The sequence below is a fragment of the Homo sapiens genome, chromosome 22, assembly GCF_000001405.40.
Source record: "Homo sapiens chromosome 22, GRCh38.p14 Primary Assembly".
In the NCBI taxonomy this organism is placed as follows: Eukaryota; Metazoa; Chordata; class Mammalia; order Primates; family Hominidae; genus Homo; species Homo sapiens.
The window spans coordinates 26,756,775-26,781,990 of record NC_000022.11 but is presented as its reverse complement, the minus strand read 5'-3'; the positions used below and the strand labels follow the sequence as shown (position 1 = coordinate 26,781,990).

At 48.8% G+C, this 25,216-nt stretch overlaps 1 long non-coding RNA gene across 1 annotated transcript in view, besides 1 other annotated feature; it reads right to left on the bottom strand.

The window, feature by feature from the left end:
* Positions 1-1,097: 1,097 nt before the first annotated feature.
* The window catches only part of MIATNB (MIAT neighbor), a 108,051-nt gene continuing 83,932 nt past the window's right edge, over positions 1,098-25,216 (bottom strand). Inside the window, exons 3-6 of the long non-coding RNA NR_110543.1 lie at positions 7,774-7,835; positions 5,037-5,164; positions 3,406-3,535; positions 1,098-2,107 (exon numbers count right to left, since the gene is read on the bottom strand). This is a non-coding gene — a long non-coding RNA (MIAT neighbor). The remainder of the gene's footprint in view (positions 2,108-3,405; positions 3,536-5,036; positions 5,165-7,773; positions 7,836-25,216) is intronic.
* Positions 4,211-4,505: an enhancer, noted in NCBI's record as "tiled region #13066; HepG2 Activating non-DNase unmatched - State 22:ReprW, and K562 Activating DNase matched - State 9:DNaseU". NCBI's record gives its function as "activates a minimal TATA promoter and a strong SV40 promoter by Sharpr-MPRA in HepG2 and K562 cells {active_cell/tissue: HepG2 | K562}" and the evidence as "EXISTENCE:reporter gene assay evidence [ECO:0000049][PMID:27701403]".

Below are 25,216 nucleotides of genomic sequence, written 5' to 3'. Positions count from 1 at the left end.
TTTCCCTGCCACGGCTGATTTGAATAATTCAGCAATGCCGGGTCTCCTGGGCACTATTGTCTTCAGTGAAGGCAAATCAGTCGCCCGCTCGGCCTGTTAAGAGGGCCCCTGCCTGCTGCCTTTTTCTGTGAATCAGGATTAATGAGATGGTGAGGGGAAGCGCCAAGCCCTGGGCAGAGATGCCGGCAGCCGGCTCTCTGGGAGCAGCGGGCCTCAGAAGTGGCTTCCGCCTTGATGTCCTCGGGCAGTCTTCTGGGGCAGCCATCAACCTGTCGATAACTAGCTATCACCCAGCCTGCCAGACCCCCAGCCTCCTGCCTGGCTCCTATGACTTCAGGAAAAAGAGATAGCAAGAGGGAGAAGGCGATCGGCAGGCGCCCTTTTCCCCTCACCTCTGGCAACGCGGCAGGCTGGGGTGATACACTTCACAGAGGGCTTCCTTTCCTGCAGGCTGCACCAAAGAGTGAGGTGCGAGGGTGATCCTCCTAGCCCTAGCCTGGGGCTGGTAAAGAGTTTGCTGGGCTCCAGCCTCCACTGCAATGCGGTTACAGAGACAGCCAGGGCCCCACACCTGGTTTTTTGACAGCTGTCACTCACATAGGGTACAAGAGACAATGGACAATGTCCTTGTGCCTCTCACTGGTGGTGCCTTCCTCTCCCTCCCTCTGCCTTGTAGTGGTCAAACAGGTGGGCTCAGGGTGCTCCACTTGTATGCTGTGTGACCATGGGCAAGTTGCTTAACCTCTCTGGGCCTCGATGACCTAATCTACAAAATGGAGATAAATACATTAGTTGCCCCACAGTTTGCTGAGAGGATTTCCAGGTATTTAAGCTTGTAAGCCCTTATTATGAGCTGATATCAAGCACACAATCATGTGTGGTCATATTGTATTAGTATCATTATCATTGGTAACTCTAAGATGGTGCTACTTGTCGGGCAGTCCATAGCCCATGCCACATGGCAAGTCGTTTGTTACCTGTCCACAGTAAGGTACCCACAAAGAATACGTACAGAGAAAGAAAAGTATTCAGAAAGTTTTGTAGCAATTTGGCAGATGGCAATTTTGTATCATTGAATATAATAATGAAAAAAGGGCTTAGATTTTGTATATTTTATTTTTCATTTAATTTTTCTAGGAATTTGCTTTTTTACTGCATTTTTTAAAACTGTCATTCTGCAATAAATTGGAATTTGAAAAAAATACTGGTGTCTCAGCACAGATAGCTTGAGAAGAGTGTTCTGGACAAACTCTAACATGCACACAAATCCCCTGGGGATCTTGTTAAAATGCTCTTACTGATTCAGTAAGCAGGGGTAGGACCTGAGATTCTGCATTTCTAATAAGGGCCCAGGGGAGGCTGAGGCTGCTGGTCCAGGGACCACACTAGTGAGGGGAGTGTGTGGAGCACCCTGGCTAATGCTTTTTCCCCACCCTATCTGGATGCCATTCACTCTAAGAAACTTCTCTGCACTCAGATCACAAAAGCTACCTCCTGGTCTGCCCTTGGCTGAAGACTTCCCAAGGTCTCTGGACACACAGATTACAAAGTTCAGACCCCACTACCAAATCAGAGGCATGTGTCAGGAGTTCCACGTGCTGCCAGCATCAGCAGCATCCAACAACTAGCATACATGAAACAGGTACCATGTGCCAGGCATTATACCTGAACTCTTCTAGAATCTTCAGCTGCAGCCCTTCTAGCCTGTGCAACTCTTTGAGATAATGCATGCCAATCCTGAGCACAGTACCAGGCAGAGCCAGCACTCAATCACTAGTAGCTGTTATAGCTATTCATTTTTCTGTACCTTTGCAATTTATCTTCACAACTCCTTAAAATAGAGGTGTAGCTGTTAGCTATTGCTGCGTAACAAACCAACCCCAAACCTAGTAGCTTGAAACAATATCCATTTATCCATGATCGCCCATGAGTCCATGGGTCAGCTGGATGTTCTGTCTTTCTGGGAATGTCTCAGCAGCTATTGGCTGGCTCACCCTTGCATCTGTGGTCATCTGGAAGGTGGGTGTTCTGGAAGGGGATCAGCTGGGACACTTCACGTCTGTTGCATATGGCCTGTCATCTTCCAACAGGCCAGCTTGAGCTCTCCCTATGGGGAATCACAGGGTCAGAGAGAACAGAGTGCACAAGGCCTCCTGAGACCTAGGCTCAAGACTGATGTATTATCACTTCTGCCCCATTTTATGGCCAAAATAAGTCACGAGACCATCCCAGCATCAAGGGGTGGGGAAATGGACTCCGTCTCATCACAGGAAGAGCTAGAAAGTCACATTGCAAAAGACACATACACAAAGAAAGGTGAAGACTTCGGGCCATTTTTTACAGGCTTACATTGTCCCCTCTTGCTAGATGAGGAAACCGAGGGTCAGAGAGGTTCAGAGATTTGCCTGAGGTCTGACAGCAGCTGGGAAGGGACAGAGCCTAGTTCTGCCTCACTCTGGAAACTATATTCTTAACCTCTATCTCAGACTCTTCTCCGCATGCAAAAAAAAAAAAAAAATACATTTTGGTAACTCAATTCACCAAAGGAAGAGGATTTTCAAATATTTTGACATCTCCAGTGGATGTTTTTGCCTGCTCTGGCTCCTGTGCCACCCCCTGCCCTCTAATCACAGGCCTGTTTTCCATCACCTGCTCTCCCTTGCCTCCTGAGTCTTGCAGCTTCAGGCAATTTATCTTTCCCTCTTGTTTTAATGGTCTCTTTAACACAGGGTTTTCTAACAAGACAAATTGAAGGGCTTGGGCATCAAGCTGAGTTTGTGCATGCTCACAGAAGGGGGTGCAATGAGGAACAAAAGGGAGCCCGGAGAAGGTACAGGCACAAGCTGAGTGGTCCCCCCAAATTCTGAAATTGGAGAAGCGTATATCTTCCGGCTCCCTTTTTGCCCACTTGGGGAGAAGAGCACTCTTGTTCCCAAAATCTAGTGGCTCTTGTCCTGCGTTCCCCAGACTTCCAGAGCTCTGAAAATATATTTGGAAGCTCCTTGAAATGAGTTGTAATATTTCAGCTAGTCTAGAAACTCAGGCAATCTAGAAATTTAACTTTACTGTTCTGTAACTGAGTATAATTTCTATTACAGCCTGTGTTCTTCCAGGTGGCAAAAATAGAATCATAGTTCATTTAGGGACGCCTACCCACTTTCTCCAGGGCTATGTCCAAATTCTGGGGGGATTGCAGTATGCCGACTTGATTGTTTATCAGTTGCATTGTTATCAGTTGCTACCTAACAAATTACCCCAAACTTTAGCATCTTAAAGTGACAATGAACATTAATTATGTCACATGATTTTTGTGGGTGAGGAATTCACAAGCAGCTTACATGGGTGGCCTGGATCTGGGTTGCTCATGAGGTTGTGGTCAGATATAAGCCAGGGCTGCAATCTTACCTGATGGCTTGACCAGGGGTTGAGGCTCTACTTTCAAGGTGGTGCACTCACATGCCCAGCAAGTTCATGCTGGCTGTTGGCTGGGGGCCTCTCCACAGGGCTGCTCAGATGTCCTCCTCACATGGCTTCCCTGAGGAAAAGGGATCCAAGAGGATGAGATAAAAGCTGCAAGTCTTTCACGGCATAACCTCAGAAGTCATACATCACCTCCTCTGTACAACACTGATCACACAGGTGGTACTGATATAATGAAGATGGAGGCTGGGCATGGTGGCTTGCACTTGCAATCCCACTGCTTTGGGGAGCTAAGACAGCAGAATCACTTGAGTCCAGGAGTTCTAGACCATCCTGGGCAACAAAACAAGAACCCTGTCACTACAAAAAAATTAAAAATTAGCCAGATGTGGTGGCACGTGCCTGTAGTCCCAGCTACTGGGGATGCTGAGGCAGGAAGATCGCTTGAGCACAGGAGTTCAAAGCTGCAGTGAGCCGTGATCATGCTACTGCACTCCAGCCTGGGCAACAGAGCAAGACCCTGTCTTTTGAAAATAAATAAATAAAATAATAAAGGAGAAGACTGAATGAGGGTATGAATCCCAGGAGGTGGGACTCAATGCAGCCCACCTGGGATGCTTGCCTCCCATAGGGTGTCAGGAATAGGGTTCATCTGGTTCTTGATGGTGTATTTATCCCACTGGCTTCTGCTGAGATGTTCTTGCTCATGTCTGACCTTGGGTACGTTGCAAACACCCTCCTTCACTCCTCACTTTAAGCCCCTTATGCTCTTTCAAAGGATGCATCAGTGTCTGTTCTGCAACTCAGAGAGTCTTTTCTGTTCTTGGAAACAGGGAGGCTTCACTTTTGCATCCTTCCATATCTTTTGTCATCTGCCCAGACCTTGGCTGGCTTTTCAAATTCGAAAGCCAAGAATTTGACTTGGTCTCTAACTGCTTTGTGCTGTGTCATTCTTTCCCTGAGGCAATAAATGCCGCATGGTCTGTCGGCTGCTGCCTGAAGGAGGACACTGGTCACAGGACATAAATTATTGCATGGAATTTAAAACACACACACATACAACAAGACCTTAGTTAATATTCCAGAATATTTTTCTGCCACGCTGCAAAAACAGTTGGTGAATATAAGTTGTCTTCATGATCTCTGTTCATTTCCACTGTGACCCTGTCCTGGGGTATCTAAAACATCCCCATTTTATAACTGAAGAAACAGAGTCAGAGAGGGTGAGTGACTTGCTAAACCCATATTCCACGTGGGTGGCTTTTCAGAAAACCTCAACTCCAGGTTTTCTGACCCAAGTCAGCGCTTTTGCTCCAACTGTGCTATTTCTTCTCTGACTTCTTTTCCCCTCTGAAATCTGCTTAAGATTTTTTCCTAATCACTGAAAAGGCACCTTCTTGGGTAACTTAAGAGGATTTACAAGCTAAAGAGAAGAGCCTTGAATGGTGGGATTTTATGCACAAGTCACACATGGGAGAGAACCTGAAGGGACACAAGATCAATTCAACACCCCTGAAATTATACACCAGGTCATCTCCTGCTTCACCCACAAGTAAGGTTGACCTTTTGAGTGGGAAGGATTCGAGACAGAGGGCAAGAGAAACAGATGGACTTACAGACAGAGCAGCAGGAGAAAAACAAAATCACAGTGATCCTTTCCATCCTCTTGCAGCAAAGAACCTCTCCAAGGAGCGTCAGCGTCTGAATTTGATACCAACTCTGGAAGGTTATTAAGTTTGAACTCCTAATAAAGAACAGATGGGAAATGGAAGAAAATCAAAGATCAAATATGCTTTCCATATTTTTTGCCTAAATGAAAAGAAAAAATTGTCAGGAACCATTGATCGCCTTTTGTGAGTGTCACATCACTGGTATGGGATTCCCGAGGCAGCAGGTGTGTTTCCTCACATGGATCCAGGCCTGGCTGCAATGAGCAGAAAAGGCAATGGTTTCCAGGCTGTAGCTGAAGGGTGGAGGGAGTTACCCCACAGCTCCCCCGGAGTCTGAGGATCCATCATCTGAACAGTGAGGGGCACAGGTTATGGTGAAACAGAACCACGGCTTCTAATTCTGGATCTACCATTATATGTGTGACTTTAGGCAAGTCATTCAACTTCTCCAAGCCTCAGTTTCCTCACCTGTAAGGATCTTTGAGATGATTTAAATAAATCGCTGCAGAGTAATTGTCTTGTGGTACCTATTTAAAAAGAAGTGGTCGTTGCAACACAGAGAAAATTACGTGTTCACTAAATGCTGTTTTATATTCATCCTTCCTGGATGCACAGAAAACTAGCTTTCCCTACCCTCTTCCAGCTAAAGGGGCATATGACTGGCTTTGTGAATGGAAGTGATGAGCATCGCTTCAGGCCAAGGAAGTGTACAGTCCCCATGAGGTTTTCCAATCTCTCTCCTCCCCTGACACAGCAAATGAGGCGTCCTCAAATTGCAGTGCAGAAGCACACAATTTTAAAAGCCTGGATCACTGAGTCACCACATGGACCATAGCTGCCTAGGCCCACAGTGGACTTCAGAGGGGTGAAAACTAACGTTTGTTTATGAGATTTGGGGTTGTTTGTTACAGCAGCCCAGCTGATGCTGACTAATTTACAAGTCATTATTTTTATTGCTATCATTGTTGTGTTGTGTCTAGAAGGCAGTCATTTAAATTCAAATAGTTTCCTTAGGATTGTTAAGTAACCGACCTAGATGAAATACACAGGTTGCTATTTAGCTCCCTGGTAGGGAGCAGAGTGTAATGTAGCAGGAAGATTTGGTAGGGAAAGGGGATAGAAAGGGCTTATCACAGAGAACCATAGGATTTGCCCAAACTCAATGGGAGGAATTTTAGCATCCTTTTCACCATATCAAACATATGATGTTTGCTTCATTTTCATTCATTGCCCTTCATCTCCCACTCCATCCTCCATACACCGACTTTTAATCACCTGGCACCCTCTGGCTCTCCTGGTCACATACTGACCCCTAATGCCTGATACCAGGTGTGGTTGCTCGGGTTTTGGTTTTGACCTTGGACACAGCCAATATATGAGACCTTTTTAGTCAGCGGCACCCCCACCATCCCCCTTGCTCCTGCTGATGTCCCACCCTGGTATGAACCATTGTCTCACAGGAGGAGCTTAGACACATTAATCAAACATTAATCCAGAAAAAAGAATAAAGATTATTTCTTGAAATAATTGAGCCAGAGAGTCCATGTCCCCAGATAATCATATCTCAGAATCAAAGAAATGCAAAATCGAAGAGCTATAGAAGTTGAGGATATAGTGCTAAAGAATCAAAGAATACTAAAAACCATAGAATCATTTAAAAAAAAGAAATCCCACAGGACTGTAGATCTCAGCAGAGCCTAAGAGTGGAAATTTGGCATGTTAGGCCTGCTCTACCCTCGGGCATCTATTTGCATGAGGACTGCAAGCTGGAAGAGAAGCAAGATTTGTGCTTGGGATCCTAAATGATGGAGAAGACAAGGCAAGATGGTCTGTGCCTCCCTTTGGTTCATATAAACCGACTGGGGAATCCATGTTGTCCTTTTATGAAGCTACACTTGTCCCTTGACAAAGATTCTCTCCTTAACCAAGCTCCAGTCAGGCCCCTCTGAACCCTCTTCTTGGCTAAGCCTTGACCCTGGCACCTGCCTTTGCTGAGCCTACATAGCCCAGTTGTAGTAAGAATCCTGCTAAGTTGGTTTAGGGAGAACCATCCCCCACCCCGCTGTCTGCTCATCATTCATATCTGGTCAAATCCCTCATCTTTCCACTGTCCCCCAGGTGATATCTGTTCACCTTGGACTGTCTTCGGCAAGAATTCCTCCATTTGATCTCCCCTCTTAGTAATTTTCCATCCACTTACCCTTTCCCTAACCCGCCACCCTTGATCATATATCTTCAGTTGTTGCATTTGAAGTTGAACCTGATCTCTCTCGCCTATTGCAATCATCTTGATACCCAACAAGATAGTCCTAAATAAAGTCTTCCTGTTTTCACATATGTCAGAATAATTTTTTCTTTAACACTCTTCAGCCAGTGTGCTGTGATCTAATGACAGTCAAACTTTGTGTGTGAAATTTTTTTCAAATAAAATCCAATAAGTACAATGGGTTGAGCTGATCATGTTGAAAGTAGGAAGTGAACATGAAATTCTGTGCACCTCATTGTTGGCCTCTTGTAGTTCCTTACATTCCTTGGGGACCCCAAGCACAGTTAGAAAACCTCTGGGGAGGTGGGGTGACCCTGCACAGGGAGCTGGACTGTTGGCATCTCAGTGCCATTGCTGCTTCCTGCCACATACTCCCCTGTATCATGAGGCTAGATAGAGCCTGGAAACTATACTTGCCCAACTGCGTTGTCAGTAGAGTTCCAGTTCAGTTTCCCCATTGTGAAGTACTCATGTGAGACCTGGAAGACAGGAGAGAATAAGAAAGCATTATTGTTCTACTAGCAGCGGGACTTTCGCAGAAAGCAGACATATGGTGTTTTCCAGCATCTTCTGGACATTTTCTCTTAAGTAACCCACATTGGTGCTGTAGGCAGCTGAGGACCTCAGTAGTAGTGCTCTGCAGGAATCCCTGCACACCCTGCTATCCTAAATGCTGCAGCATTGCATTCCCTGTATTAAATCTCTTCCTGATTGAAATACCTAGAGGGGTTTCTGTTTTCCTTATGCATCCTGATGAATACAGACAGTCAGAACACATGGCTTCTAATTTCATTTAGAGGTTAAGCCCGCCATCACATCTAGGAAGTGAGGAGCGTCTCTGCCCGGCCGCCCATCGTCTGAGATGTGGGGAGCGCCTCTGCCCCGCCGCCCCATCTGGGATGTGAGGAGCGCCTCTGCCCGGCCGAGACCCCGTCTGGGAGGTGAGGAGTGTCTCTGCCCGGCCGCCCCGTCTGAGAAGTGAGGAGACCCTCTGCCTGGCAACCACCCCGTCTGAGAAGTGAGGAGCCCCTCCGCCCGGCAGCCGCCCCGTCTGAGAAGTGAGGAGCCTCTCCGCCCGGCAGCCACCCCATCTGGGAAGTGAGGAGCGTCTCCGCCCAGCAGCCACCCCGTCCGGGAGGGAGGTGGGGGGGTCAGCCCCCCGCCCGGCCAGCCGCCCCATCCGGGAGGGAGGTGGGGGGTCAGCCCCCCCGCCCGGCCAGCCGTGCCATCCGGGAGGGAGGTGGGGGGGTCAGCCCCCCGCCTGGCCAGCCATGCCGTCCGGGAGGGAGGTGGGGGGGTCAGCCCCCTGCCCGGCCAGCCGCCCCGTCCAGGAGGTGAGGGGCGCCTCTGCCCGCCCGCCCCTACTGGGAAGTGAGGAGCCCCTCAGCCCGGCCAGCCACCCCGTCTGGGAGGGAGATGGGGGGGGTCAGCCCCCCCACCCGGCCAGCCGCCCCGTCCGGGAGGGAGGTGGGGGGGTCAGCCCCCCGCCCGGCCAGCTGCCCCGTCTGGGAGGGAGGTGGGGGGGTCAGCCCCCCGCCCGGCCAGCCGCCCCGTCCGGGAGGGAGGTGGGGGGGTCAGCCCCCCGCCCGGCCAGCCGCCCCGTCCGGGAGGGAGGTGGGGGGGGGTCAGCCCCCCTGCCCGGCCAGCCGCCCCGTCCGGGAGGTGAGGGGCGCCTCTGCCCGGCCGCCCCTACTGGGAAGTGAGGAGCCCCTCTGCCCGGCCAGCCGCCCCGTCCGGGAGGGAGGTGGGGGGGTCAGCCCCCCGCCCGGCCAGCCGCCCCGTCCGGGAAGGAGGTGGGGGGGGTCAGCCCCCCCGCCCGGCCAGCCGCCCCGTCCGGGAGGGAGGTGGGGGGGTCAGCCCCCTGCCCGGCCAGCCGCCCCGTCCGGGAGGTGAGGGGCGCCTCTGCCCGGCCGCCCCTACTGGGAAGTGAGGAGCCCCTCTGCCCGGCCACCACCCCGTCTGGGAGGTGTGCCCAGCAGCTCATTGAGAACGGGCCAGGATGACAATGGCGGCTTTGTGGAATAGAAAGGCGGGAAAGGTGGGGAAAAGATTGAGAAATCGGATGGTTGCCGTGTCTGTGTAGAAAGAAGTAGACATGGGAGACTTTTCATTTTGTTCTGCACTAAGAAAGATTCTTCTGCCTTGGGATCCTATTGATCTGTGACCTTACCCCCAACCCTGTGCTCTCTGAAACATGTGCTGTGTCCACTCAGGGTTAAATGGATTAAGGGCGGTGCAAGATGTGCTTTGTTAAACAGATGCTTGAAGGCAGCATGCTCGTTAAGAGTCATCACCAATCCCTAATCTCAAGTAATCAGGGACACAAACACTGCGGAAGGCCGCAGGGTCCTCTGCCTAGGAAAACCAGAGACCTTTGTTCACTTGTTTATCTGCTGACCTTCCCTCCACTATTGTCCCATGACCCTGCCAAATCCCCCTCTGTGAGAAACACCCAAGAATTATCAATAAAAAAAAATAAATAAATAAATAAAATAAAATAAAATAAAATAAAATAAAAAAAAGAGGTTAAGGGTGGGCTGGGCTGGTAATGGGTACCCACTGATAAAAGCAACAATAATAGCAACTCTTACTTTTTTTCTGTATGTGCAAGGCACTATGATGCGAGGCAATTTACCCAACCTGTCTCATTTATGAGACGACCCTGTTTTTGTTTGTTTGTTTTTGAGATGGAGTTGCCCAGGCTGGAGTGCAGTTGCGCGATCTCAGCTCACTGCAGCATCCGCCTCCTGGGTTCAAGTGATTCTCCTGCCTCAGCCTCCCAAGTAGCTGGGATAATAGGCGTCTGCCACCATGCCCGGCTAATCTTTTGTGTTTTTAGTAGAGACAGGGTTTCACCATGTTGGCCAGACTGGTCTTGAACTCCTGACCTCAGGTGAGCCATCCACCTTGGCCTCCAAAAGTGATGGGATTACAAGCGTAAGCCACCGCGCCTGGGCAAGACGACCCTTTAAGAAAGACCTTAGAAAGGAATTTCGTACCTCTCCCCGACTCTTCTGCCCTTTCTAGTAACCATTTTTTCCAGCCCTCAACCAGAGAAAAATAAACTGAGATCCTTATTTGGTCACTATAAAATATATATATAAAATACATATTGTGCCACATTTCAGTTATGCACAGGGTTACTGTACCACAAAATCGGCACCCTCTTGCCTGATTCTCTCTAAGCAGAGTTTTATCCCTGGGGAATCTCTGGCCATCCCCACTGGTCTTTATTTGCTTGATATACCTGGTAGGGTACACGCATTTAGGACCCCTCGCAGGATCTGGCCATCCTTCTCTCCCTACAGGCAATCCTGAGCACACAGGTCCCAAGATTTATATTTACACTGGGAAATCAGAAACCTCACTTGAACCTGGAGCTGAAGAATAAAGAATACTTTCTTCCTCATTTGATTGTTATTTGTCAGGCATCGAACCTTTGTCAGCCCCAAACCCTGCAGGGATGGGGAGATAAATGGCAGATCAGAATTAGGCATTCCAGAATCACCTTCCCATTGCTAACAAAACTTACTCCCAGTTGCTGCTGGAAACTCCCGTTGCTGACAACAATTAGCCCCAGTTGCTACTGGAAAGCGCTGATGCCCAGAGAAGTAAAGCAACTAGCCTAGTGTCACACAGCTAATAAGCGGTAATAGCCCAGATTTAGTCCTGCCAATCCCATTTCTGAGTCTACTCACTTCATTACTGCACTACTGTTTTTTTTGTTTTGTTTTGTTTTTGTATGACAGATAGTGGTTTGGAGGCTGTGAGGAAATTGTGTAACCCTTCTGGGTTGGAATTTTCCTCTCTGTCAAGTAAGAGAGACATTTTCAAGGTTGCTCTGGGTAACAACACCCTGAAATCTCAAGACGATGAATTCCTTGATACAAATGTCAACACCCCTGTCTGCTCCCTACACAGCCTGGCATATGGTAGGAGCTTAATGAATGTTCCACTTATGACCAGACTCTCTCCCTTACCCTCAGTGGGCATGAGTCTGCCTTTGTTGCTAATTCTGCACTTGACTCGTAAAAGCATCAAAGGCAGGGAGGAAGGATAAGAGGGGAAAAGGGAGGATTATTCCCACTTTATTTTTAGTTTAAATAATAGAGATAAAGAGGGAAAGACTGAGATAAGGGGGTCATCTTTCCCTCCCCCCTTTTAAAGAAACCTTAATTTCTTTTTTTTTGTACTTTTTTTATTATTATACTCTAAGTTTTAGGGTACATGTGCACAACGTGCAGGTTTGTTACATATGTATACATGTGCCATGTTGGTGTGCTGCACCCATTTACTCGTCATTTAGCATTAGGTATATCTCCTAATGCTATCCCTTCCCCCTCCCCCCACCCCACAACAGGCCCCGGTGTGTGATGTTCTCCTTCCTGTGTCCATGTGTTCTCATTGTTCAATTCCCACCTATGAGTGAGAACATGCAGTGTTTGGTTTTTTGTCCTTGCGATAGTTTGCTGAGAATGATGGAAGAAATCTTAATTTCTGCAGAGGCAAGTCCTTTGACTTTCCACCTGTGACTTCCCATTTCTAATCTGCAAAATGGGTACCTAGCACCTACCCTCCTTACTTTGCTAAACACATTCAACCATGACCTTCAAATGATACCTTGCCACTTCTACACTGAGGAGCCTTGGAAGGGCAAGGCATTCTGCTTCTCAAGCTTCACTCTCCTCTCCTATAGCATGGACCTCATGTTCATGCTCACACCTACCTCACCCTGCCATTAAGAAGATGAAATGACACATAATGGAAAAAAGTCTCTGCAGCCCTCAGCAGGCTGAGCTGATGTGAGCAATGCTGATAGCAAGATTCTGAATGCCCTTCCCCCAAGGACTCAAGATAACCTCCAAAGCACCCACAAGCTCAGTCCCTCATTTTGTCCTCCTAACAACCCCCAAGGCAGCCATCATCACATGCACTTGGCAGGTAAGGAAACCAATGCCTGCAAACTCAAACGGGGCTCCAGCCTCAGCACCATCACCCTTTTGCTAGACAACCCACCCTGCTCTGAGCCTCGGTCTTCCTCACCTGTGCAATGGGGCCAATATCTCTCCTCTGCAGAATTGCTGCAATGTGGTTTCCGGCACATCCTAGGTGCTCACATGCTCTTGCTCTCCCTGGGAGGGTCAGGCCTTGCCTAAGGATACCCCGCACTTGAGTGTGGGGCACCTGGGTCTTGAACGCAGAGCTCCCAAGATCCAGTTCCACCCCCTCTGACTGCAGAAGGCACTGCCCCCACGTTCTCGCTGGGAGTCCCTGGGAAATACTTCCATTGTAATTCCTTGGACTTGAAGCAAAAATTAAAGTTGCTGACAGCCTGCTCACCACCGTGCCGATTCGTAATATTGATGAATCAGGAGCCGGGCCCGGCTCTGGCTGTGGGTACAAGTGCCCAGAATATTCATGAGCCATACTACCATTCCCTGATGGCATCACTTCCTCCTTACGGTGTCATCATTCCACCACACGTCACTTGTTCCAACGTGATCTTCCGATGCCGCCCACACATCCCAGCCTGGGCAGACAGCCCCTCCTGCAGAGAACTAAATTCTAGGCCACAGTGAGGACAATTGGGTTGTCATCAGTGCACGGGGATATCATGGGACAATTACAGGGCCTGGGCTCCCACCAACACCTAGCAGGAGGTCATCTTCATTCTCCAACTTGGAGCTCTGGTCGAAGAAAGCAGCTTCTCATTCAAGCCCATGGAACAAAGCGACAGCTTGGTAACCCCCTCTCCCACCCTCCAAGGCCTGACCTGGACATTTTGGGAATCAGGGACATATTTCTCAATAAATACCCTTATCCCAGAAGGAGGCAGCCTGCCTGTCCTTGCACCCTGCAAAAGCTTGTCTGTGAGATGACATGAGTTGCCGTGTGCTTTTCTGGTTAAACATTTATACTACAGCTTTTGGAGATAAATGATACATACATGTGTCTGCATGATTACGATTAAATATTAAGCAGACACACAGACCTGGTCGGCCTGAAGGAAATGAAACCCGGTGACACAAATGTCAGATCTGAGAGGTGCTGAAGGGGGGATAATTAAGAGCATCAAGGTTGACCCAAGGCCAGTCGGGTCCGAGGCCACCCCAGCAGAAAGCAACCACCTGCCTCCCATCGGTCCCCTAATGAAGCTGAATAGACACACTGGTGGCTTTTGTCTTCTTGCCTTCTTTCCCCTTCTTCCCTCTTTCTTTCTTCACTCTCCAAGGCAAAGCCAGCTTGGGCAGCCTTCCCTACTCGTCTCTGCCGCACCACTCCAAATCTGACTGCATTTTTAAATTGTAGTTGATTAGGTTTTACGAGCTGACTTGCTCGACGTGGCACAAGTCGCAGTATATGTCAGAGGCCTGGCAGAGACTTGAATTGAAATGATTCTAATTACGTGTGATAATTTTTGCATTCTAACATAAAACAATGTTACCCAAAAAAAATCCCATTACAACGGTTAAAAGACAAATCATTTAGCAAGTCCCTTTCTTTATTACTTTATTAGACAATTTACAAGGCAACATTTTGAACATTGGGACCGGGCGATGGCCCAAGTCTATCCAACCGTAAGTTGCACTAAGAAAAGAGAGTTCATCTCTTGTCATTAGTCAGAGAGTCAAATGCAATCACGGGGACTCCAATTGGCTTGTCAGATTAGCCACCGTTTCAAATCATTAGCATGGCAGAGCATTGCAAAATGCAGGGCGCTCCGAAAAGAAGCATTTAGCTGCCACCCAAGATGTTTTAGAATGCTTCCTCCAAGCAGCGTCCAAGTACCCCAGATTCCCTCCCTGAATATCCCCCGTACCCGCCCATCCCCAGCAAATATCCTGCCCCATTCCTCGCAGCTTGGTCATGTGATCTGTTCTAGCCAGTGAAATCAGAGCAGGGGTGACTTGTGTCACTTCTGGGTAGAATCTGCAAGAGATCGTGCATGCTTCTCTGAATCTCTTTTCTCAACTGCCTTCGGACTAGCAATGTCCACTGACCTGAGTTATGGGTAAAAAGTATTTTAAGCAAAGCATCAGCCACTTTTCATCACGTAATGATAAAAGTGTGAGTGATGAACATGTAACTTGAATGAAAAATAAACCTTTGCTTTTTATAGGGTGACTAACCTTCCTGGTTTTTGAAGGTCTGCGGGGGTTCCTGAGATGCATGACTTTCAGTTCTAAAACTGACAGTCCCAAGTAAATTGTTTTGGGGTGCCTGAGACTGAGAGATTTCCTGGAATGCAGGATTCTAGTGCTAAACCTAAGAAAGTCCTGGGCAAACCAAAACAAGTTTTGGTCACCCTCTTGTGTCCGGAATTCGTTCCTTCCGGTGGGTTCTTGGTCTCGCTGACTTCAAGAATGAAGCCGCAAACCCTCGTGGTAAGAGTTACAGTTCATAAAGGCGGCTCTTCTGGAGTTGCTGGTTCCTCCAGGTGGGCTCGTGGTCTCAGTGGCTTCAGGAGTGAAGCCGCAGACCTTCGTGGCGAGTGTTACAGCTCATGAAGGTAGTGCCAACCCCCAGGTGTGCAGCAGCAGAATTTTCTGTGAGGAGCCAAGGAACAAAGCTTCCACACCGTCGGAGGGGACCCAAGCTGGTTGCCGGTGCGGGCTCGGGTGGCCTGCTTTTATTCCCTTATTTGGCCCCACCCACATCCTGCTGATTGGTCCATTTTACAGAATGCTGATTGGTCCGTTTACAGAGTGCTGATTGGTCACTTTTGACAGAGCGCTGATTGGTGTGTTTACAAACCTTTAGCTAGACACAGAGTGCTGACTGGTGCATTTACAATCCTTTAGCTAGACAGAAAAGTTCTCCAAGTCCCCACCTGACCCAGAAGCCCAGCCAGCTTCACCTCTCACTATCTTTGGAAGCCATAGATAATTTTGGAGATGTTTGTTACCTCAGCATAACCTGGACTAAGCTGACTGATACACTCTCACTTTACAAACAAGGGAACCAAAGTTCAGAAAGTCAACAGACTTGGTAAACATAGAGTGGCATGAAGGCAGAATGGAGATTTTGCAATCAAATGAGTGGAGGTTTGGGGAGGTCAAAGCGGGAGGAGCACTTACAGCCTGGAGTTCAAGACCAGCCTGAGTAACATAGTGAGACCCTGTCTCTACAAAAACAAAATTTAGAATTAGCCAGGCATGGTGGTGCATGCCTGTAGTCTCAGTTACTTGGGATGCTGAGGTGGGAGAATCACTTGAGCCCAGGAGTTTGAGATTGCAGTGAGCTTTGATCACACCACCACATTATTCCAGACTGGGCAACAGAGTGAGACCCTGTCTCTAAAAAAGTCAAGGTTTGTTTCCTGGCTCTGCTGATTACTGGCTGTACTACCTTGGGAAAGTGTCACAGACTGGTTCCTGGGAAGCAGATGCTGGGGCAGAGTTTAGCGGGCAGCATGTTTAGTAGGAAGTGTTCTTGGATCAACACCTTTGGAGAAGAGGAAAAAGAAGCAGAGTTGGGAACAGGGAGAAGTTGAGCCATGGTGAAGGTTCAACAAAGGTCTCAGCCAATCCTATGGGGCGCTCTGAAACTGGTTGGCCCTTTGGAGCTGTCTCAAGTTGGGATAAGGAGGTCAGGCCTTTATCCTCTTGCATCTATCAGTCATTGGATATGGGTTGACCCCAGAAGGGAGTGAACTTGGGTGATGCAGTTTTCCTGCGCTGGGGCAGCCCTGAAGAGGGCAATTCTCTCAGCAGTTATAAATAAATCCTTCCAGCCAGGCGCAGTGGCTCACACTGCAGCCCTACCTACTTGGGAGGCTGAAGCAGGAGGATCACTTGAAGCCAGGAGTTCAAGGCTGCGATGAGCTATGATTGCACTACTGCACTTCAGTCTGGGTGACAGAACAAGACCCTGTCTCTAAAAAGAAAGAAAGAGAGAGAAAAAAAATCCTTTCTTCCATTAGATGAGTCTAGGCTGTGCATCACAGCCTTCAATACGGTAAGTTACTCAAACACTGTGAACCCCAATCCTCATCTGCAAAATGGGACGAACAGTTCATGTAGATTGCTAATACTGTGTGGATAATTTGTTGGATACTTACCCTATGCCAGGCCCCAAGTTAAGAGTTTTATATGCACTTTAACACGTGGGGATGAAGGAACTAGAACATGTAAGATTCTTAGAACAGTGTCTGGTACACCATGATATATTGTAATAATTATTAATATTAAAGGTATCCCACTTGTACAATTGCAGCCATCTCCTCACTGGCCTCTGCCTCTGCTCCCAGTTCTTCCCCTCATGGTAGGCAGAGGGATCCCTCAAAAAAGGCAAATGTTACGTCACTCTTCTGCTCTAAACTCTTCTGTAGCTACCTGTTACCTTCTAGATAAAGCTCAAGATCCTTCCCATGACATCAAGGCTTTGCTAATCTCTCCCTGTCTACTCCCCCTGCTTCCAGCCTCATGGCCAGGGACATTTAATGGCTTTCCATTTAACAGCTTTTCCCAGCCATCCGCTCCTCTCTCCCGTGTGGGGAATTCCATCTTGTCTTTCAAGACTCAGCTGAGGCATCATCTCTTTCACGAAGCCATCCCTGACCTCCAGGCAGGTCAGACACTTCCTTGAGACCCCCACAGCCTTCCTGGCATGCTCCAACCATGCTACTTGGATTCTTTTTTATCGACTCATAATAATAGTACATATTTATGGGGCACAAGTGATAGTCTGATGTATGCCTACAATGTATAATGATCAAATCAGAGTAATTGGGATATTGGGGTATCCATCGCCTCCACCATTTATCATTTCTTGTTAGGAGCATTAGTGTTGGGAGCATTTCAACCTTCTCTTCCAGCTATTTTGAAATATACAATAAGTTATTGTTAAGACTAGTCCCCCTACTGTGCTATCGAACACTAGAACTTATTTTTTCTATTTAACTGCATGTTTGGACCCATTAACCAAGCCCTCTCCACTCTGCAACCTGGATTCTGACAATCCATTTGTCAGCTTCTCTTTCCCACTGCACACTGAACTTTATGAGGCTGAAGCAGCAACAGCATTTTTGGATTCCAAGAGAGGCTGTCTTTTTTAAAGCTCCTCATCTCGGGGCCCAACAAAAAATTCATGGTCAGTAAACACTCAGCAGATGAATGAATATTCCGCCCAGCCCTTTACAGGATAAACATGGGAACCAGGAATCACTTCTCCACGTTTCAGTAGAAGCTACCTAGAAATTCAATTTGAAATCCTTGAAAATTGGCTGCAAATTTACTAACCCCTAGAGATGCAGATGAACGAAACCAGGCAAACGACTTCTATTGTCATCAGCAACGGCTGTTGTGTTTTGAACAAGCATGTTTGTAACTGCAGACTAGGCTATGCGCTCTAAGGACTCAGAAGCAAGTAGAACTATCACCTTCTGGTGTCGCTCTTGGCCGTGGCTGGCCACGTGGCCTTGCGAGAGTCACTCCCCACTCGGAACCTCCGATTCTTCCCCTGTAACATGAGGGAGGGAGACAAGCTGAGCTCTAAACACACGGACTTCCCTCTCCAAACAAAACAAACAAACACTGTTTGCACAACTCTTTAGCTCATCAATCTGTGGCTCCTGTTGACTGCTGGGAATGTCTCTGTGGTTCAGTTGCTAGCTCCTCTCCTGGCATCAAGGCTGTCACCATCATGCCACCTTCCTTTCTAGGAACATCCCGGGGTGCCCCTTGCAAGCCAGAAACATAGCAAAGGAGCATCCCCATGTGCCTCCTGCAAGCCAGAGATGTAGCTCACGTGCCGCCACCCTCAGTCCACACCCTGCGCTGTGGTCCTCTCCCCCAGCAATGATTCGTCTCCTTCAATGTGCTCAGGGCACCATGAGGGCAGGAATGTCGCCTCAGCATCTTGGAATGCCCAGGGCCTGGCACCATGCCAGGTATACAACTGATGCTCAGAAACCACTGTATCATGTTTATTTCATTATGGGCCTATCATGGGTTAGGTTGTGTCACCCAAAACAATGTTAAAGTCCTAATCCCCAGGAACTGTGAACGGGACCTTGTTTGGAAATAGTCTTTGCAGATGATGGAGTTCAGATGAGGTTGTTAGTTAGGGTAGGCCCTTCTCCAAAATGACTGTGCCCTTATTCAAAAGGGAGATTTGGACACAGATCACCATAGAGGGAAAACAGTGTGAAAACGTGGGGAGAAAGCTGGGAATAAGGCCGTCTACAAACCCACGAATCCCTGAGGCTGCCCGAGGTGCCAACACCTGGGCTTCAGACTTCAACCTCCAGAACAGAGAAAGAACACATTTCCATGTATAAGCCGCCCAGTCCGTGGGTCTTTGTTTTGGCAGACAAGGCCTGTCTCTGCCCTGAGTAAGTCAAGGGCAGGACTGTGTCTGACTACCGGCTGTGTCAGCCCAGGCCTGTGATATGAAACATTCTAAGCTCAAAAGAACAAGAGTCCCACCCCCAGCTGCCGACTCTCCAGGGGGACAGAATTTTCTCTTCCAATGGCCAATCCCCAATATTCATTTAAGCAACATTAATATGTCAGACTGTAACCAATGCCACGCAAAGATAAGCCTTGTCTGCGTGTGTGTATGTCTGTCTGTCTGTCTCCCATGCTGGTCTCTGAGCCCCTCAGGGCCATCTCTTACTCATTTCTGTGCCCTCCAGCACCCAGTACAGAGCCTGGCACACCCAATACAGAGAAGCCTCCTTATTCACTGTGGCTTAGTCACTGGCACCGGTTTCTTTCTGAAGTCAAGGGGATTTATGTTTACCCGAGGCCTCTCTCTGACATGAAACATTTTGCACGCCCATCCTCCTGGTGTGGGGTAAAATGCAGGAGCTGGCCCAGGCTCTGCTGTGCAGGTGACATCAACCCACTCAGCCATCATAGAGGGGAGGAAGGAACATTGGACCTGGGTTCAGGGCCTGGATCTACATGGATTTACTGTGTGTCCTTGGGCAAGACATTCCTCTGTCTGGACCTCAGTGTTCCCATCTGTAAAATGGGGTGAGACGTACTTTAGAATTTCTTTCTTTCTTTCTTTCTTTCTTTATTTTTTTTTTTTTTTTTTTTGAGGTGGAGTCTCGCTCTGTCTCCCAGGCTGGAGTGCAGTGGCACGATCTCGGCTCATCACAACCTCCACCTCCCACGTTCAAGAGATTCTCCTGCCTCAGCCTCCAGAGTAGCTGGGACTACAGGCACACACCACCATGCCTGGCTAATTTTGTATTTTTAGTAGAGATGGGGTTTCACCATGTTGGCCAGGTCTGGAACTCCTGACCTCAAGTGATCTTGCCCGCCTCAGCCTCCCAAAGTGCTGTGATTACAGGCATGAGCCACCATGCCCGGCCTGCTTTAGAATTTCAAAAGGCCCTTCTTGCTACAGAACTGGACAATTCTACTGCATGGTAAGTGCTTACTGTATACAAGACACATGCTGCAGAGATGGGGAAGGAAAATTAAACTGCCTGCTTTGCATGAGACGCTGTGCTAGGTGGAGGAGAGGATGGTGACTGAGACAGAGACAGAGGCAGCTGGTCCTCGTGGCACACAGTCCAGGGTTTCACAAAATGCACCCTATCATTGATTCACCAAATGTCAGAGGAGCAGGCAGGGATGAGCTGGTGTCAAGCCCTCCGTGAGCCACTCCTGCCCTCCCTTTCGGGGCAGAGCCATTGTTCAGGAGGCTGGAGCTGTGGCTATCTAAAGGGAGACACATAGGCTCATAGTGAAGATTCTGGACTTAGAATTCCGATGCTGGGGCCAGGCACAGTGGCTCACACCTGTAATCCCAGTACTTTGGGAAGCCGAGGCGGGAGGATAGCTTGAGGCACGGAGTTTGAGACTAGCCTGGGAAACATAGTGAAACCCCCTCTCTACCAAAAAAATACAAAAAATTAGCAGGGTGTGATGGCATGAGCCTGTCATCCCAGCTATCAGGAGGCTAAGGTGGGAGGATCGCTCGAGCCCAGGAGGTGGAGGTTGCAGGGAGTGGAGCTCCCACCACTGCATTCCAGCCTGGGTGATAGAGTGAGATTCTGTCTAAAAAAAAAAAAAAAAAAAGAAGCAAAGAAAGCCCACCACTTCCCACTGCATGGCCTCAGTCCTCAGTTTCCTCTGCTAGAAAATGGGTTCATTCCTGTTTCTGCCTTGAGGGGGTCAGTGAGAATAGCACAGGAATTGGAACATGCGTGGTCCTTGCATCAGGACCCGGCCTACAGGAGGTGGTCAGGAAATAATGTCCACTCTTTCTTGATCCCTGTTGCCAAGGAAGGGAGAAGTTTGAGGCCAAGGGGTGAGGTCACTGGGCAGCCCTTGCCCATGAGCTTGAGCCACTCAGCTGCCTTCTGTGGTCTTGTCACATCCCCCATCCAGTACCTATGTGTAGAAACCCACCCTTCCCACAGACACCCAGTGGTCTGGGATTTTATTCATCTCTTTCATTGACTGATATGGAAACTGAGGCAAGAGGACAGAGCAACTTGCCCAAGATTATTCAGCGAGATGGGGCATCATAGGAGCTGGATTCTACAAATCTTTATTCGGAGTGCATCCTCCCCTCCTTCCTCCACTTCCTCCTTCATCAACACCATCTCTTTACTAACCACTCCTTCTAGACCAGGCTCTGTGCTCAGCCTTTACACTCTGACCTCACCAAATCCCATCAAGTAGATACTTGAACTAGCCTATTTTACAGATGAAGAAACAGAGACTCTGTGAAGGCAAGTGGCTTCAAGCCAGACCTTGATCCTTTCTAGTGACTTCCCGAGCAGGCTGAGTCTTTTAGAAACCCCCATACCACAACACTCACCCACACCCTTTCCACTGGGACAACCATGCCTGGCCATGACTGAGCTCTTACAATGGCCAATACACTGTTTAGACACCCCAAAGCAGGCACTACTATTATCCCTGTTTTACAGAGGAGGAAACTGAGGCTCAGAGAAACCAAGTCCCTTCTAAGCTCACCCAGCAGGTGTGGAGCCCAGATTCGACGCCAGAGCCTGTCCATTGACCCCAACACCATGCTGTGTCCACAGGGTCTCTGCATGGAGCCACAGACAACATGAGCCCCGTCTGGGAACTCTGTGCACAGCCCTGGTTGCTTGGGTTCTCTGCATGACAACATCAGCCTCCATCTGGGGAGATGACAGGGGGCTGAACTTCAAATTTCCACCTTCAACTCTAAAGAGACGATGTCGATTCATTCCCCCTGACCCCAGCAGGCATTAACTGAGCACCTGCTAGGAGCCAGCCCCTGCTAGGGGCCAGGCCCCAGGGAACACAAATACACAGAGAGAAGCAACAGCCAGGGAAACAAATTTCCGGAAGGATGCTGGAGAAGTAGGAGGCTACACCCATGAGAAATGGGTGATGTTCCCCTAGTGGAGTGTCCGTCTGTCTGTCTATCTGTCCGTCTGTCATCTGGAGGGGCAGGAGGGGCTAAGCCATTTCCCAGCCCCACCACCACCCAGCACAACCCAGGCTCTGGGACAGGAAGCCCCACCAGCCAGCAAGACCCATTCTCCACAGCCGGGCTTCAGCAGAGCCATGACCCGAGGTCTTCTCATCTCCAGCAGCTCTGCATTCGGTAACTGCCCTGCCACCTGCTGCCTTCTGGGTCAGAATCAGTTTTCTCCAACTCCGTCCACCAGTGGACAGCGCCCTCAGCTTCCTGACGCCCTGAACATTCCAGCTCTGGGGCCCATGCCTGATGGGGGAACGGTCTGACCACCACCCCACCCACTGCCTCTGCCATCCCAATGTGAATCTATGTTGCAGAGCTCTTGTCTCAGTTATTAATAACCATAGTAATAGTCTTTATTTCAAAGCACTCACTAAGGGTCAAGTCCATACTAAGCTGGTACCCGCCTCAATTATTTTATCCTCAGAGCCACCTTGGAGGCAGGAACAATAAGTATCTCCACTGGAAAGATGAAGAGACTGAAGTTCAGAGAGTAAGTGGTGGGTAGCCAGATTTCAGCCCAGGCCTGCATGGCTCCAAAGCCCCCTGCCCCACTGAGGGGCAGAGCAGGTGCACTGCAGACAGGGACTTTCCTGAGGCCCTGATCGCAATGGGGAGAAGGCCTACTTTCCCCAGCATGTCCCAGAATGATGCCTGAAGATCCTCAGGCCCAGAGGCCAGGAGCTCTTTTTTGCATTGCTTTTCAAGGGGGAGGTGTATGGCCTTGGTCAAGTGGCTTTCACCTGTCTGAGCCTCAGTTGCATCACCAGTACCAAGGAAGGTGATAACACCTCCTTTCCAGGTGCCTTTTCCTAGCTGGGATCTTCACTCATCTCTGAACCCCCTCACAGAATCCACGTCAGATAAAGTGGCTGTGGGAGCCAGGAGAGACCCAGCAGAGACGATGGGTCCACCTGAGCCACTGCCTCCCTCTGCCTGAAAGCCCAGTGATCCCTTCTGCTTCACTCTGAGGCCCTTGCAGTTTTCAGCAGGACAAAGAAAAACTGTGCTTTGAGTTAAGACACTTGAAAAAAAGTTCATTTGCACAGGGAGTCTCAGGGACTCCTAGCCATGCATCCCAATACCTGCATCCCAAGGGTAGGAACACAGCTGTAAGTTCTGGGTTCAGAGCCTCACACCATGCTGGGGAGAGCGGAGAGCCGGGGCCTCTTCTCAGGGACCTCACAGGCCTTTGTCATCACAGCTGTGTTTATCAAGCATCTTCCATGTGTTCGGACCCCCTCGTTTAATCTCACAGCCACCTCAAGGGTACGTGCGATTATCTCCATTGTACAGATGAAAAAACTGAGTCTCAGTGGCAGTGAACCAAGGAAAGCAATAGCCCAACCAGGATTGGAACCCAGATTGTTTATTCCAGGGTCATTGTTCTTCCCCACAGCTCCATGCCCGACCAGCCTGAGACAACCACCAAGTCCTGACCAGCTCCTTCCACAATCCCTATGGGGGAGCAAATACCTGTCACTTCAGTGGAGTAAAAAGAGGACCAATTTTAGAGTCCCACAGAGCTTAGTTCTGAAAGACAATACCAGAAACACAAGCACCAAAAGAGAAACACGGGTGTGTTGGACTTCCACCAAAACTTAAAACTTTTGTGCTGCAAACAAAACCATATAGTAAAAAGACCCTCCATAGAACGGGAGAAAATATTCCCGATTCTTATATCAGATAACTGATTTGTATCCAGAATATATAAAGAATGCTTACAATTCAACAATCAAAAGACAACCCAACTTTTTTTTCTTCAGACGGAATCTCACTCTGTCGCCCAGGCTGGAGTGCAATGGCGCAATCCTGGCTTACTGCAACCTCCACCTCCAGGGCTCACGTGATTCTCCTGCCTCAGCCTCCCGAGTAGCTAGGATTACAGGCATGTCCCACCGTTCCCAGCTAATTTTTGTATTTTTAGTAGAGATGGGGTTTCACCGTGTTGCCTAGGCTGGTCTTGAACTCCTGACCTCAGGTGATCCGCCCACCTTGGCCTCCCAAAGTGCTGGGATTACAGGTGTGAGCCACCGCACCTGGCCAATCAACCCATTTTTTAAAAAATGAGCAAAGGATATGAATAAGTATTTCTCTCCAAAGAAGATATACGAATGGCCAGTAAGCAAATGAAAAGATGTCTGACATCCTTGGTCATCAGGGAAGTGCAACTCAAAACCACGATGAGATACACTTCCTACCCCCTAGGGTGGCTAGAATCAAAAAGGCAGATAGTAGCAAGTGTTGACAAGGATGCAGAGAAACCCAAATCCTCATACACTGCTGGTGGGAATGTAAAATGGTATAGCCACTCTGAAAACAGTCTGGCAGATATTTGAGCAGTTAAATATCATGTTACCATACGATCTGGCAGTTTCACTGCAAGGAAATTGAAAATATCTATCCGCATAAAACCTTTTCACAGCATTATTCATAGTAGCCAAAAAGTGGAAACAATGAGCAAATGAATCAATAAAATGTGGTATATCCATACAATGGAATATTATTCTGCAATAAAAAGGAATGAAGTACTAATGCACATTGCAACATGGGTGAACCTTGAAATTATACTAAGTGAAATAGGCCAGGCACAGAAGGCCACATGTTACATGATTTCGTTTGTATGAAATGTCGAGAATCTACACAGATAGAGAGTAGATTAATGATTGACAAGGGCTGGAGGGATTGCTAACAGATAGAAGATTTCTTTGGGAGAATTTACTAAAATGCTGTAAAATTGAATTGTGGTGATGGTTGCAGAACTATGTGAACATACAAAAAAAAATTGAAATGTATACTTTACATGTGTGAATTCTATGGTATGAGAAGTCTAGTCTCAACAAAGCTGTAAGAAAAAAAAATTCCAACTCTATCAAACCCCAGAGCTGTGTGTTCTTAGAATAAAGGTTTCCCAGCTTCAAGTCTCAGTTTCCTCCTCTGCAGGATGGGCTAATAAGCCACATCACCTTGCATGAAAATCAAGGAGACAGCACAGCTGGGGCCCAGCACGTAGTAGGCCTCACTCCGCACGAGGTTCCTTCCGCAGAGGGGAAGGGAATGGGGGTTGCCCAAGTAGGGCGCACGGCCAAGGCCATGGCTGGTCCTGGACGGCCAGACGGACTGGACGGAGGAGGAGGCTCACCGCCCATGACATAATGTAGATGGATGGCTCGGGCCATCCGTCAGGCTGGGAGCGGGTGGCCGGGGAGGAGGCCGTGAGGGAGCCCATTACCGTACACGTGTTAACAGCGCATCCTTTGTACAGACAGCCGCGCGGGCGCGGGCCAGGGCCGCTCCCCACATTGTCTGGGCGCCGCGGCCGCGCGGTGATGAATGGGCCGCGCGCGCCCGGCCGCCCCCGCCGCCGTCAGGATACCACGGGCAGAGGGCGACACCTCGTGGCTGTTTACAGAACTGCGGG